Source organism: Homo sapiens, chromosome 4 (genome assembly GCF_000001405.40).
Source record: "Homo sapiens chromosome 4, GRCh38.p14 Primary Assembly".
NCBI lineage: Eukaryota > Metazoa > Chordata > Mammalia > Primates > Hominidae > Homo > Homo sapiens.
The window spans coordinates 83,680,823-83,696,655 of NC_000004.12; positions in this window are offsets into that span (position 1 = coordinate 83,680,823).

The following is a 15,833-nucleotide window of genomic DNA, read 5'->3' on the forward strand; positions in this document are numbered from 1 at the left end:
CTCAGAGGAAGGCTGAAATACATCATTTGAGGGGTTATACACTCGAGGTGACCCGTTGCTGTCTAGTCCTGACTTCCCTTGGGGTTCGCCTCTCTCTCCTGCCTGCCGTCATCTCCAGCATCCCTGTCCTCTTGGTGAGCTCCAGGTGCCTTGAGGAGAACAGAGGGGACATTTTGCTCCAATTACAAATGCTGTAGCAAGGAAAGGTGAAGCAATTAAACTAATGCCCTCTCCATTGCCAACTTTATTTGTTCCTGTTTCTACGATCCCATTTTCCCCCCTTTTCTGTGCAGTCTGTGGTTTGACACTCATTGTACTTCCCCTCTGATATTGTCTCATAAAACTCTCTGTCAGTAATATAATTGCCTGTCCAGCTTTCCAGGTTATGTGTTTTTTTTCCCCTAAAGCACATCGGTAGAGAAAGCATTTAAGCTTGACACGGTGACTTTCCTGGGCTAAGTTCCGTCCTTTTATCGCAGAAAGGCTTTCAAGTATGCACTATAGTGCACTTACTTTTTTCTTAATATAACTTCCATCCCACCTTCCTCGTCTGCTTGCCAAAGAAGGAAAATAGACTTGTTCTCTCGAATAATCAAATGAGACTGTGATAGGAAAAATAGGTCAGGGAATAGTAAGTAGCTAATTTACTGGGGACAATACATTTCTTACAATCCAAAGTTTTTAAATTGACGGACTTGAAAAAAAAGTTCTAACAGTGGTAGTGATATTTCAGTGACAAGATTTAGGTTTTATTAGGGATGTTCATTTGGAATTTCAGTGGAGAAGGGAGAGGAAGGACAGAGAAGTGAGTGAGGTAGTGTTAGCTAGGGCAGAGCAATATTTTTTCTGATATATAAATGTAAATCTTTATTATGTGCCATTAGAGTTTAATATATGCCACTAGAATTTAGGGATAACATGTTGATTGTCTGCTCCTTCTTGTCTTACTTTGGGTCCCAATGGCAACCCCTTTTTATTTCTTGGGACTCACATGAGAGGATACTGCATCAAGTATACTCTGCCAAATCCTAATGATTTTAATTCAGAATTGTGTCTTTTCCAGTCTTTATTCTCCCTGCTACTATCTGGGTTCTGACACCCACTGGATCTCTTTTTTTTTTTTTTTTTTTTTTGAGACAGAGTCTCGCTCTGTTGCCCAGGCTGGCGTGCAGTGGAGCGATCTCCGTTCACTGCAAGCTCCGCCTCCCGGGTTCACGCCATTCTCCTGCCTCACCCTCCCGAGTAGCTGGGACTACAGGCGCCTGCCACCACGCCCGGCTAATTTTTTGTATTTTTAGTAGAGACAGGGTTGGATCTCTTTTAAGAACATTGGTTCCCAAACTAGGCGCTCGTCTTCAGAATCAGCTTGAGAGTAACATAAACACACACACACACACACACACACACACACACACACACACACTGCTAGCATTCTGCCTACACACTTACAAACACATACACAGATTCCTCAAGTCTACGTTGTTGATTTTGACTCACTTGGTCTTGGGTGGGGCCTAAGAAACCAGATATACAAACCACTTTTCCTGGTTATTCTAATGATTTAGAAATGTCTTTCTTATAACAATTTTTTAAATTGTCTTTCCTGACAACAATGTGTCCCTATCCCAGTCTATCATCTTCCAGGGTTATTGTCCTTAAAATGATCAAATCATAGTACCTGAACTTGGTGGAAGGCTAAAACAGGCTCTAAAACTTGTTTTTCCTCTCCCTCACCTGTAGGATAAAATTTGTACTTCTTGGTTTGGCGTAGAAGGTCCTCTTCATTGTAATTTCTGCCCATTTCTCCAGCTTTTTCTCCTATTGTCCTTTATGTACCTTATATAATCTATCCACACTGAACTTCTCATTGGCCCCAATACATCTGCACATATTTGAATTCCAAAGTTTTACACATGATGTTCTTTTTGCCTGGAGTATCCCTCTCTCTCCTTGACCTTGAGACAAGGCTTTCTTCAGAGGGTACCTCCTGCATGAAGCTTTCGTTGATTGGGCCAGGCACTGTTAGTTGCTCGTGGTTTGCAGGCACCTTCTTCTTGCCACTAAAACAGCATTTGTCAGATAGTACAGTGATTTGTCTTCACTAGATTGTGTACTACTGGATGCCAAAGACTATTTTCTACATCCTATTGTTTCCAAACCTACAACAATGTCTGGAAAATAATAGGTCTAAGGATTGTGTATAGCAATGAGTGGATGAAAGAGTATTGCTTTTACAGAGTGATAATTAAGAGCCTGGACTGTGGTCCCAGATTAATCAGGTTTTTTTTTTCTTTTTTAGAGTGGAGTTATCACTCTGTTTCCCAGGCTGGAGTGCAGTGGAATTATCATAGCTCACTGCAGCCTCCTGGGCTCAAGCGATCCTCCCTGTTCAGCTTCCTGAGTAGCTGGGACTACAGGCACACTCCATCATTTCTGGGTATAGGTTTAGTTTTTGACTATGCCACTTATTAGCTGGGTGATTTGGCTAAATACTTACCCCTCTGTGCCTCAATTTTCTCATTTAGCATAGTGTTAGCTATTATCATCACTGTTACTGTCATTTTGCTATTTTTAAATGCTGGAGGAGGATTAAAGGGGTATCAATAGAGGGTTTGGATAGAAATAATAGGATACAAGGTCTCCTTTTGTGACCTTGGGCAAATTACACCACTGCTATATAAAACAGTGGTTTAAAATACTGCATATTCTCACTTCTAAGAGGGAGCTAAACTGATAATAACTTACAAACATAAAGAAGGAAACAGCAGTCCCTGGGGTCTACTTGAGGGTGGAGGATGGGAGGAGGGAGAGGAGCAGAAAGGATAACTATTTGGTACTGGGCTTAATAACTGGGCGATGAAATAATTTGTACAACAAAGCCCCATGACATGAGTTTACCTGTGTAACAAACCTTCACATGTACCCCTGAAGCTAAAGTAAAAGTTAAAAAAATGGTGCTTTAAAACCCTGTCTGTGGTACAGGCATATGGTAAGAATCAGAAATAATACTAGTACCATTTACTGGGCATTTCTCATGAGCCAGACACTCTTTCAAGCACTTACACAAATTATCTCCTTTAGTTCTCATAACACTCATATGAGGCAGATATCCTTATATCTCCCATTTACTAGTGAGGAAATTGAGTCACTTGCCTGTGGTCACAAAGGTAGCAAGTATACAGCCAGGACTTGGACCAGGCCTAACTCTGAAAGTGTAAGCACAACCAGTGTGCAAAACTGCATCCCAAATAAGGTAACAACACATGTAAAAGAGTGTGATCATACTGCTTTCACTTACTGCTTGGCTTGGATGTAATACATGGAGAGGCAGAGCTTTTTTTTTTTTTTTGATTGGTATGATGTTGCTCATATACACTTTTAAATATTTATTTTTTGTTTCAATAGTTTTGGGGGAACAGGTGATGTTTGGTTGCATGGAAAAATTCTTCAGTGGTGATTTCTGAGATTTTGGTGCACCCATCACCTGAGCAGTGTACAGTGTACTCCATGTGCAGTCTTTTATCCCTCAGCCCCTCCCACCCTTCCCCCTGAGTACTCAGTCTATTGTATCATTCTTATGCCTTTGCGTCCTCATAGCTTAGCTCCTGCTTATACGTGAGAACATACAATGTTTGGTTTTCCATTCCTGAGTTGCTTCACTTAGAATAATGGTCTCCAACTCCATCCAGGTTCCTGCAAATGCCATTCTTTTGTTCCTTTTTATAGCTTAGTAGTTTTCCATTAAACACACACACACACACACACACACACACACACACACCACATTTCCTTTATACACTTGTTGATTGACGGCATTTAGGCTGGTTCCATAATTTTGTATTTACATATTGTGCTTCTGTGAACATGTGTGTGTAAGTGTCTTTTTCATATAATGACTTCCTTTGGGTAGATACCCAGGAGTGGGGTGCTGGATCAAGCAGTAGTTCTACTTTTAGTTCTTTAAGGAATCTCCATACTGTTCTCCATAGTGGAGAACCACCAGCCGTGTAAAAGTGTTCCATTTTCACCACATCCACGCCAACATCTGTTATTTTTTTATTTTTAAATTACGGCTATTCTTGCAGGAGTAAGGTGGTATCGCATTGTGGTTTTGATTTGCATTTCCCTGATAATTAGTGTTGTTGAGCATTTTTTCTTGTGTTTGTTGGTCATTTGTATATCTTCTTTTGAGAATTGTCTATTCATGTCCATTGAGAGGCAGGGCTTTGATTTGGATATTGTTAATCAGTTCAGACTGCAAGAACAGAATGCCATAGACTGGGTGGCTTAAACAACAAACATTTATTTCTCATGGTTCTGGAGGCTGGGAAGTCTTAAGATCAAGGTGCAGGCAGATCCAGTGTCTGGTGAGGGCCCTCCTCCTGGCTTGCAGATGGCCATCTTCTCATATCTTCACATGGCAGAGAACACAGAGAAGATGTAAACTCTCTTGTGTCTCTTCTTTTTTTTATGTTTCAAATTTCACACTACACACCATGATTCTTCATTGTGTCTCTTCTTACAGGGCACTAATTCCATTCACAAAGTCTCCACCCTTATGACCTATGCACCTTTCAAAGGCCCCACCTCATAATGCCATCCCTTGGAAATCAGGATTTCAACATAGAATTTTGGAGGGACACAAACATTCAGTCCATAACATATGTGAGAAACAGGAGAGGAAAAAATAAGATGAGAATGTTACAGGAAAGTGCTTGGAGGGTGCCCAAAGTGGGGTGCTGACACAGTGAGGAAATGGAAACATATGTGAAGAGCAAGGGCAAAATCTTATTTTCCACTTATTTATTTATTTATTGCTAGTGCTAGCCCTGTCCTATTCCCTTTGCCCAGAAACTAGGCAGGAAGTTGATGATTTTATTCATGAAGCCTTGTCTTCAGGGTGTAAGACGGAGGAGCACCTCTTGGCCCTGTCCTCTCCCTGTTGATCTGTCCTGGAAAGACTGAAATAAACAGGAAGAGGAAGAGGATGAGCTGGAATCGTTGCCTGAGAACTTGGACATTTCAGTAACGAGATGTTTCCTCTCCAGGTTTGGGAAGAAAGCCCCTCGGTGGAGCTGGAGTGTCTATCCTTTCCAGACTTCTTTCTTGATCTAGTTTGAGAACTTTTCCTTTCCTCCTTCTCACACCTTCTTCATCCAGTGATACTGACACTCAGGAGTTTGAGGAGACAAATGACATATGTGCTTTAATTTATAGGGACTGTGTCTGAGCCACTGATGGCTTGCACTTAGGCTGGGTCTGCATGACACCAAAATCCACAGTCAGGTCGGCACCTTGCTTAGGCTGGGTGAGGCAACTGGCTGATTGACTAGATTTGCACTTCTCATAATGTTGCTTTGACGTTGTGTAGTAGAACAGTGATTCAAGTTTGAAAAAAAAATGGAAGTGAGATGATCTCTTGAAGTATCTAATGGAAGAAAATTAAACGTATGGTGAAATAGAGAGCATCCCAGGCTGGAAGTGAGCAGCCAGGGTTTGTATTCAGCCACTGCCCTGATGAGTTGTGTGGCCCAGGGCAAGGGGAGCCTCTCTCTGGTTCTCAACCAGGAAATGAGCTGCCTTGTAGTCATCACATTTTATAGTTCCCTTTAAAATATTTAGGTCAGATGATATATTAGTGGCTTTTTCTTTAAAACAAAATTTCTCAGAAGTGTCAGGTTTTTTTTTTTTTTCTGAATTCCTCATTATTTATGCATTGGTACAGAAGCCCTGGAAGGTGTTTTTTTTTTTTTTTTTTTTTTTTGAGACAGAGTTTCACTCTTGTCACCGAGCCTGGAGTGCAATGGCACAATCTTGGCTCACTGCAACCTCCGCCTCCTGGATTCAAGTGATTCTCCCGCCTCAACCTCCTGAGTAGCTGGGATTACAGACGCCTGCCACCATGTCCAGCTAATTTTTGTGTTTTTAGTAGAGACGGGGTTTCACCATGTTAGCCAGGCTGGTCTCGAACTCCTGACCTCAGACGATCTGCTGGCCTCAGCCTCCCAAAGTGTTGGGATTACAGGTGTGAGCCACTGCGCCTAGCCTGGAAGGTGTTTTTAAAGAATACCTTATTACAGAGGCAAACAGTGTCCAAGCTCCCCTTGCTTTTCAGGGGAGTGCGGAAAAGGAAAGCTTTTTTTTCAGTTATTCGTGGTCTACAGCCCCAAACTGTGTCTCTGGTGCTGCTGGGAAATCCTTGATACTCCTGCAGGCTGCCGTCTTTCACCCCTCACCCAGACCCTTTAAAACCTCCCTCCTCTCTCTTCTGAGGCTAATCTCTACTTTTTCTCTGACCCCTCCCTCTCTTTTGGGAAACTTAGTCTGTTGGTTTTCCCCGATTCTCTTCTGAGATTTTTTTTTTTTGGAGACAGACTCTTGCTCTGTTGCCTAAGCTGGAGTGCACTGGCGGGATCTTGGCTTACTGCAACCTCTGCCTCCTGGGCTCAAGTGATCCTCCTGCCTCAGCCTCCTGAGTAACTGGGACTACAGGTGTGCACCACCATACATGGCTAATTTTTTGTATTTTTCATAGAGATGAGGTTTCACCATGTTGCTCAGGCTGGTCTCAAACTCCTGGGCTCAAGCAATCCTTCCCCCTTGGCCTCCCAAAGTGCTGGGATTACAGGCATGAGCCACCTCATCTGGCTTCTTCTGAGTTTTTAACCTGACTCTCTCTATTGGTTCCTTCCTATTCGTGTTTCAGCATGTTTTTATTTTTATTATGTTTTTTAAAGCAGGAGCCTCTCTAATTAAAAAAAAAAAATTCACCTTGTAGCGAACACCCTAACTTCTACCCTCAGGTGTGAGCATAGATCTCACTGCTTTTGGAAGCACGCTCTTGTGCCGCTGACCTAGGTAAGGTGCCGCTCCTACATGCCTACTTAGCAGCCTGTATTTCCCCTCTCCTGGAAGGCACCACATAGCAGTGTAATTCTGTGTTATCTGCCTTCCCCACTAGGCTGTGAGCTCCATGAGCATGGGGATCTTGTCTCATTACTTATTCTTTGCTGTGTTCCCAGCTCCCAGAAGAGTGCCTGACACATAGAGGAACTTTTAAAAGACTTGTGAATGAATTAATACATGGATTAATTAAAGAGGAAGAGATGCAGACTTTTTCTCTAATAATACTCCAATGTTTTACCCTATGGTACTCTCTTGTCCTATCCCAGCTGCTGCAGGAATTATACTAGCTATGTTCACCTGATTGCTTTGACTGGGAACATATAATGGTGACTAATCAAGTGACAAGGTGGGAGAAGAAGGTACTGTTAACTTTTTTCAGAAGGGAAATATCCATTCCAGGTTGCAACCATCCTTTCATAAAAATAGGTCATGGCAAACACCCATAAATCAAGAGATTTAGATTCAATCAGTGTCCAGAAGTTGAGTGCCCTATTCTTTGCTAGGATTTTTCTGGTGTTTCCCACTTCTGATTCGGTAGGGAATCTTGACAGTGATTGCTTACCTGAGACACTGTATGTTTCTCAGTAGACTCATACAGAGAAATACCATATGAAGGTGAGGGATTTTCAGTGTGAGAATCATGTGTGGTTTTATTTATGGCTTTGATTCCTGGTGACCCATTATTTTGCACTTGTCATCCAATAAGGACTATTGAGAGAAAGTAAATTCCCATTATAGTAATGTTAACAAAAATGTAAGTAACAGTACCAACTTTTGTTGAATACTTGCAGTGTACCAGGCACTCTTCAATGCTCTGTATTTGCATTAACTCATTTGATCATTAAATCATTGGTATAATAGTAGTTTGAGATAGACACTATTATTATACCAATTTTACAGTTGAGGAGTTGAAGCAGAAGTGAAGTGGCTTTCTCCATGTCACACAGGTAGTAAGTGGCATAGCCCAGATTTGCACCCTGGGTGGCAGGGCCACAGTCCCACTTGTAATCACTGCATTCTCCTGACTTTCAGTGCAGGCAGTGGCTGAAGGCAGAGATTACAAACTTATTATGTAAAATGCCTCAATCCTATATAAAATAATACTTTGAGACGCACATGTAGATTTGATCCTGGAGTTAAAAAAACTATAAGGAAAATGGTAGATGTAAGTGATAAATAGTAAGTAGAGCTGTCTCATAAGTTGTATGACATTAAATCTCTATCTTTCCAGAAGAGGTACATTTTGAGTATTTGCTAAATTACTATATTCTAGAAAACTGAGCCTCATCTTTGGGCAGTTTGTTTTTTTTAAACTTTTTATTGTGAAATAACTTTAGATCCATAGTAAGTTGCAAAGAAATGTACAAGAAGGCCATGTGCACTTTTTACTCAGCAACTCCCAATGTGAATGTCTTACATAACTGTAGTACAATATCAGAACAAGTAAAGTGACATTGGAAAAATCTGCAGAGATTATTCTGATTTCTCCAGTTCTACATGCACTCATTTGTGTGTGTGTGTGTGTGTGTGTGTGTGTGTGTGTGTGTGTGTGTAATGTGTTCAATGTTATCACAGCTATAGCTTCATGTAGCCACCATCATTATCAAGATACTTAGTTGTACCATTACCGTAAAGGGCCTTTCTGCTACTCCTTTATGGTCAAACTCTAATCCCTAATCTCTGGCAGCCGCTAATCTGTTCTATGTCTTGTAATTATGTTATTTCACAGGTATTATGAGAATGAAATCATACAGTATGTCACATTTTAGGAATCTTTTTTTTTTCCTTCAGTGTAATTCCCTGGAGATTCATTCAAGTTGCTGCCTATATAAATTGCCTGTTCCTTTTTATTGCTGAGTACTATATTCCATGGTACATATGTAGAATACCTCGGTTTGTTTAACCATTCGCCTGTTGAAGGACATATGGGTGGTTTCCAGTTTTTGGCTATAATAAATAAAGCTTCTATGAACATTTGTGTACAGGGTTTTGCGTGAACGTTTTCTTTTCTATGGGATAAATGCTAAAGACTGAAATTGTTGGGTCATATAGTAATTACATGCTTGGCTTTGTCTTTTTTTTTTTCTTTTAAAGAAACTGTGAAACTGTGACTGTGTCATTTTATATTCCCTTCATTAATGTGTGAGTGATCCAGTTTCTCTGCAACCTTGTCAGCATTTGGTGTTTTCAGTGTTTTTAATTTTAGCCATTCTGAGAAATACTTAGTGATATGTCATCGTGGTTTTAATTTGCATCTTCCTGATTGCTAAACATCTTTTTATGTGTTTATTTGTCTCTGTATATCCTCTTCTCTGGAATGTACCTTCCTGTCTTTTGCCACTTTCTTTTTCTTTTCTTTCTTTTTGTTTTTTCTGAGATGGAGTCTCACTCTGTCACCCAGGCTGGAGTGCAGTGGCGTGATCTCAGCTCACTGCAACCTCCGCCTCCCGGGTTAAAGTGATTCTCCTGCCTCAGCCTCCAGAGCAGCTGGGATCACAGGCACGCCACCATGCCTGTTGATTTTTTTTGTATTTTTAATGGAGATAGGATTTCACCATGTTGGCCAGGCTGGTCTCAAACTCCTGACCTCAAGTGATCCACCCACCTCAGCCTCCCAAAGTGCTGGGATTACAGGCGTGAGCCACCACACCTGGCTTCTTTGCTCATTTTCTAATTGGATTGTTTGAATTTTTTACCATTTATTTTTAACTGTTTATTCTTGTAAATTCTTTCATATATTTTAAAATATATAATACACGTGGCTACATGGCTTGCAAATATTTTTTTCCACTCTGTAACTTATCTTTTCATCCTCTTCACATGGACTTTAAGAAAGCAAATGTTTTAAATTCTGATAATGTCAAATTCATCAGTTTTTCAACAGAAATTTATTTCTTGCAGTTCTGGGGGCTGGAAAATTTAAGATTAAGATGCCACCGGATTTGGTGTCTGGTGAGGGCTTGTTCTCTGACTCAGAGATGGTGCCTTCTTGCTGCATCTTCACATGATGGAAGGGGCAAATAGGGTCCCTCAAACTTCTTATAGGGTACCAATTCCATTCACAAGGGCACCACCCTCCTGACCTAAATACTTCCTAAAGGTCTCACCTCTTAGCATATCACATTGGGGATTAAGTTCCAACGTATAAATTATGGGGGCGCATACACATTTAGACCACAGCAGTGGCTTTTGAAGCATTGGTCTATTGCTTCCAATTAGTTCAATTTATGAGAATAAAATTCATAGTACTTTTAATGGCTTTTTAAAGTACTTTTAATGGCATCCTTTCAGTGGTTATAGGGTTTCCATATTTTCTCTCTTCTCATTGAATATTCTTGACAACTGAGCAGCATTTTTAGGCAGCTTTTTTTAAAAAAAGAAAAATTTATTCTCTTCACAAAGACCTTAGTTTGAAGTGTAAACTAGGTTTCTTAAATTAGTAAAAGGCAGCTCCTGGGATTAAAATAAGAGAGGAGGGACTGGGAATTTCAATTGTTGATTCCCCCACTTCATTTCCACCTTCCTTTACAGAGTGCAAATTGAAAACCACTGCCACAGGACATGAATTACATGTCATTTTTACTGTAAGATTCAGACCAAGAGAACACTCGCTGTTACTGAAACTATGCTAAGATTAGATTACTTTTCATGAAATGCTGCTGGATTTCAGGATGGTGTTGCAGCCCGGGATTATTACTGTGAACAATTATCACTGTGCTTTATAAAGAGAAGAAAAAGTGTAGATTTGATAGACTCTATACTGCCTGTACTAGACAGTTACTATAGAGCCCAGATGACATTTGTAGCAATCTTTTCCCTTGCAAATATAATTGGATTATGGCTCAGTCAATTCCAGTGTCTGTGAAAGTTCAAAGCTTTTTCCTGCTTTTGGGTAATTTCTAAGGTTTATATTCTTATGGTTTGGATCTTGCATCACAAAGTTATACTTGGCAGGGTGCCTGTAATCCCAGCACTTTGGGAGGCCGAGGCGGGCAGATCACCTGAGGTAAGGAGTTCAAGACCTGCCTGGCCAACATGGCGAAACCCCATCTCTACTAAAAAAAATACAAAAATTAGCTGGGTATGGTTGCACGAGCCTGTAATCTCAGCTACTCAGGGGGCTGAGGCAGGAGAATCGCTTGAACCCGGGAGGCAGGGGTTGCAGTGAGCTAAGATGGTTTCACTGCACTCCAGCCTGGGTGACAGTGAAACTCCGTCTCAAAACAAACAAACAAACAAACAAAAAAAGTTATGTTCCACTCCTATTAACCTTTTTAAGAAAAATTGTTCAAGAATTGAAAACAAGGCAAAGAGTGGGCAGTATGTCCTTTTAATTTCCTATTGGAGTATTGTTTACAGGTCCTCTCAGGGATCTATTTAATTATCAAGGTCAGGGGTTGACAAACTTTATCTACAAGTGTCAGATAGTAAACACTTTTGCCTTACAGGCCATATAGTCTCTGTCACAATGACTCAACTCTGCTGTTGTAGTGTGAGAGCGGCCATAGGAAATGAGTGTGACTATGTTCCAATAAAGCTTTATTTATGAAAGTAGGTGGCTAGCCTGCAGGCCAGTTTTGTGAACCCTTCAAAAAGGAATGTACCTTTTTAAACTTATGATTTGCTATGACTAAGAACCCTGTGAAATTTATGTTAGTGTTTGATTATTTTTCTAGTGAAAATGCAAATGTCATATATCCTAAGGTTATGCTTTTATTACCCTCTAGGATATTAACTATTTTGTTTTTTATCTAACAATCTTATTCTAACATTATCTTTTCCATGCCTAGAGGTGCCCAATTCCTTGAATGCTCCTGGAACCAGCTTCTCCTCCTGCTGGTTCCCTCATTCATAAGTTGAAGAAGTCATTGACATGTGTTTTATGAGAATTAAAAAAAAAGGCTTTTCGTAAACAATACTGTCACATCCTAAACATAAAATTTACCCATTTAAGTGGTCCTCCCTTCCACTCGTCATAAAGTGTCACTTAATAGAAATTTAATAAGTTTTATCAGCATTTACTAAATATATATTTATAATCATATGATTTATAACTATAATGCAATATATAATTTACATATAAATATAATATGTAATATATAACATGTAATATTATATTATATACATATAAATATGTATATTTATATTATAATTATATAAATAATTAATATATAATTACATATTATATACTGTATATATACTATGGTACATCACTATGTATAGTATATTATATTACATATAATATGTAGTATATTATATTACATATAATATGTAGTATATTATATTACATATAATATGTAGTATATTATATTACATATAATATGTAGTATATTATATTACATATAATATGTAGTATATTATATTACATATAATATGTAGTATATTATATTACATATAATATGTAGTATATTATATTACATATAATATGTAGTATATTATATTACATATAATATGTAGTATATTATATTACATATAATATGTAGTATATTATATTACATATAATATGTAGTATATTATATGTAAATTATATATTATAATTGTACATTATATGTAAATCATAAATATAAATATATATTTATGTATAAAATATATAATACACAAAAATAGATATATACCTAGGATGAAATATATATATTTAATATGTTTATATTTAATTTTAATATAATCAGTGTTTAATATTTAATATTTATATTTAATTTTAATATAATTTTATTTTAATATAAATGTATTCGTATTTTAACATATTTATATAAATATATGTTTTATATATTTATATAACTGTTTTTATATAGTTATATAATATATATTTTTCATATTTATATTTAATACCATCTGTAAATATAAATATATATTAAATATAAATATTTTATTTAATCCCAGCTTATATATTATATATATTTTCATAAGTATATAAAATATATATTTACATATTTTATATTTATTTTATTTTATATTTTATAAATATATGTATACACATAAATATATTTATAATTTACTTCATAGTAACTGTCTATGTGGTATATATTACATATAATGTGTATGTAAATTATAAATATATATTATATATAATAAATATATATTATATGTAATATATTATATTTATATATAATATATATTATTTAAATATATATATTATATTATATATAACATATTATATTATTTATATATAAATATATATTATATATATATATATAAATATATGTTTTGTATGTAATATATAAATATATATGTATAAATAAATATATAGATGGATTTTTGAGACAGTGTCGCTCTGTTACCCAGGCTGGAGTGCGATGGTGGGATCACAGCTCACTGCAGTCTTGACCTCCTGGGCTTGGTGATCCTCCTGCCTCAGCTTCTTGAGTAGCTGGGACCACAGATGCATGCCACCATACTTGGCTGTTTTTAATGTTTTTGTAGAGAAGGAGTCTTGCCATCCTGCCCAGGCTGGTCTCAAACTCCTGGCCTCAGGTGATCTCCCACCTTGGCCTCCCAAAGTGCTGGCATTACAGGTGTGAACCACTGGCATTACAGGTGTGAACCAGCATTTAGTAAATGCTGGGTGCATTTACTAAATATTTAAGGAGACGTTACAAGATAGGGCATCACTGCAGAGCATGTGACCTCTTATTATTTGCCCATCTTTCCTCTTTCTTCCATCTCTGTTTTTCATTTCCTCCTTCCTGGAATACTGATTCTCTCCCCACTTCCAAATATAAATTTGCCCTTTTCTGCAAAGATGCTCAATTTAACAAAGGCCTTCAAACTAATGTGATCTTTTCTCTTTATAGAGCTGTGATTATATATATATACATATATATATATAAACACACACACATATATTCTGCTACATATATATATTGTGCAACATAAGGAAATTGCTTTGTGAAATAAACTTTTAATTAGTTTTTTTTTTTTCATTTGTCTCTTTCATAACAGAAATGTTTCAATGAACAGGTATTTGGAGAACACAGCTTTATATGCAAATTTGATCACTCTAGCAGAGATTGAAGCTTTTTTTTTCTGTTATTTTTTCCTTTCTAAAATATTTCTTAGTATTTTTTGTTGTTACACAATGACCTACTCAACATTTTTTTCTGTTTCAAACAAATGATTTACATTTGTTACGTTCAGTGAGAAGAAGGTATATTCTCTACCATTTCTGGAATTCTTTTTTATGCACATATGAAAGTATTCGAAAGCATTCAAACTCTGCTTTAGTGAGTACCTTTATTCAGATAAAATATCAGATCTTTTTTTCAACCTTCCAGTGATAATTCTCTAAGAAATATTATTCCAGGATAAGTAATTTCTAAAATGGTATTTTTATGCTCTAACAAGTTTGAAAGTCCTTATATGTGTCCACTTGCATGAATACCAGCGGTCTAATGGAAACTCTAATGTAGCAATATTCCGTATTAAGGAAAAGACCTTAATAAAACCAAGTCCTTTGTCCATAGATTTAGTTTAACAATAGTTTCTTGGGCTCCTACTAAGTGCCCAACATAGCATTAGGAATTGAAGTCAAAGCGGAATCAAGGAGGTAATGTTGGGACCTGGAAGATGTTTATTATCTTTTCTGGATTTTGATTTGCTTAATGAAAATACTCTATCTTGATAATTTCTAGCAGTAGGATGCCATTGTCATCTTCAATTAAGCCTGTGTTTCTCAAGTATTCTTTCCAGTGCTTTTGGTGGTAGGAATAATGTAAATTTTTAAATAGTAAAAAAAGACATGATCCAGATATCAACTGAAGTCACCTTGTATATGAGATTTTTAAGGAAAGGCTTCCTAGTATTCTTTGAGAATCTCAGCAGTTGGTCAAAATTTCGCAAATTCTTGTAAATCTACATTTTAACACTCACTTTTAACTCTAAGTTCCTGTTTTCCCTGAACTTTCAATTTAATGAACATTTTATCTTGTATTTTTTTTTTATATTTAACAAATTACAGATACAGAACTTGGCCCCCTTTCCTAGCTTTCTTCCCAAAAAACTCACAGGAAACTTTTGTTTATAGCAGAATTTAGTAGACGCTTTACAATAGTGGAGGGGTTTCCTAACTCAGAGGCATAAACAGCATACCATTAAGTATTAAATATCCTGTTCTTTAAAATCCTTCAGCTATCTTGGTTAATTGGCTTCTTATGTAGGCTCCAGCCACCTGCCAGTTTACCCAGCCTTCCTTGTTTCCCTTTCTCCTTCCCTCTTCTCTCTCTTTTCTAGAGCCCTCCCATTCACCTATATTTGCCTACAGAGGTGCTTGTCTCATTTCCCTAGCCAATCCTTAATCTCAAGGTCTTATCTTTATATGTAATAGGTTTTAAAAATATTTCTTACTTAAAGACAAATTTTCTTCCTAAGAAGCACTTTAGTGACAAATGTTAAAGTAACAGTCGTTTTTCCTTGTTTTACGTAAATCTTGATAAATTAAAATATCTGGCCAGGAGCGGTGGCTTACACCTGTAATCCCAACACTTTGGGAGTTTGAGGCAGGTGGATTACAAGGTCCAGAGATCGAGACTATCCTGGCCAACATGGTGAAATCCTGTCTCTACTAAAAATACAAAAATTAGCTGGTCATGGTGACGCACACCTGTAGTCCCAGCTACTCGGGAGGCTGAGGCAGGAGAATCACTTGAACCTGGGAGAGGGAGGCTGCAGTGAGCTGAGATCACACCACTGCACTCTGGCCTGGCTACAGAGTGAGAATTCATCTCAAAAAAAAAAAAAAAAGAAAAAAACCAACTCTGTCATCTTTTCCTTCTTGTACCCACATTTTGTTTTTTGGCATTTCTAAAGTTGAAACCTCTGTCACACAAAATGCCAGGTGTAAGCCAATAGAGCATGGTGGAAACCGTGAAAAGGAACAAGTGGAACATATAAATATTTTTATACTTAAATTGGGAAAACATAACAATATCCTA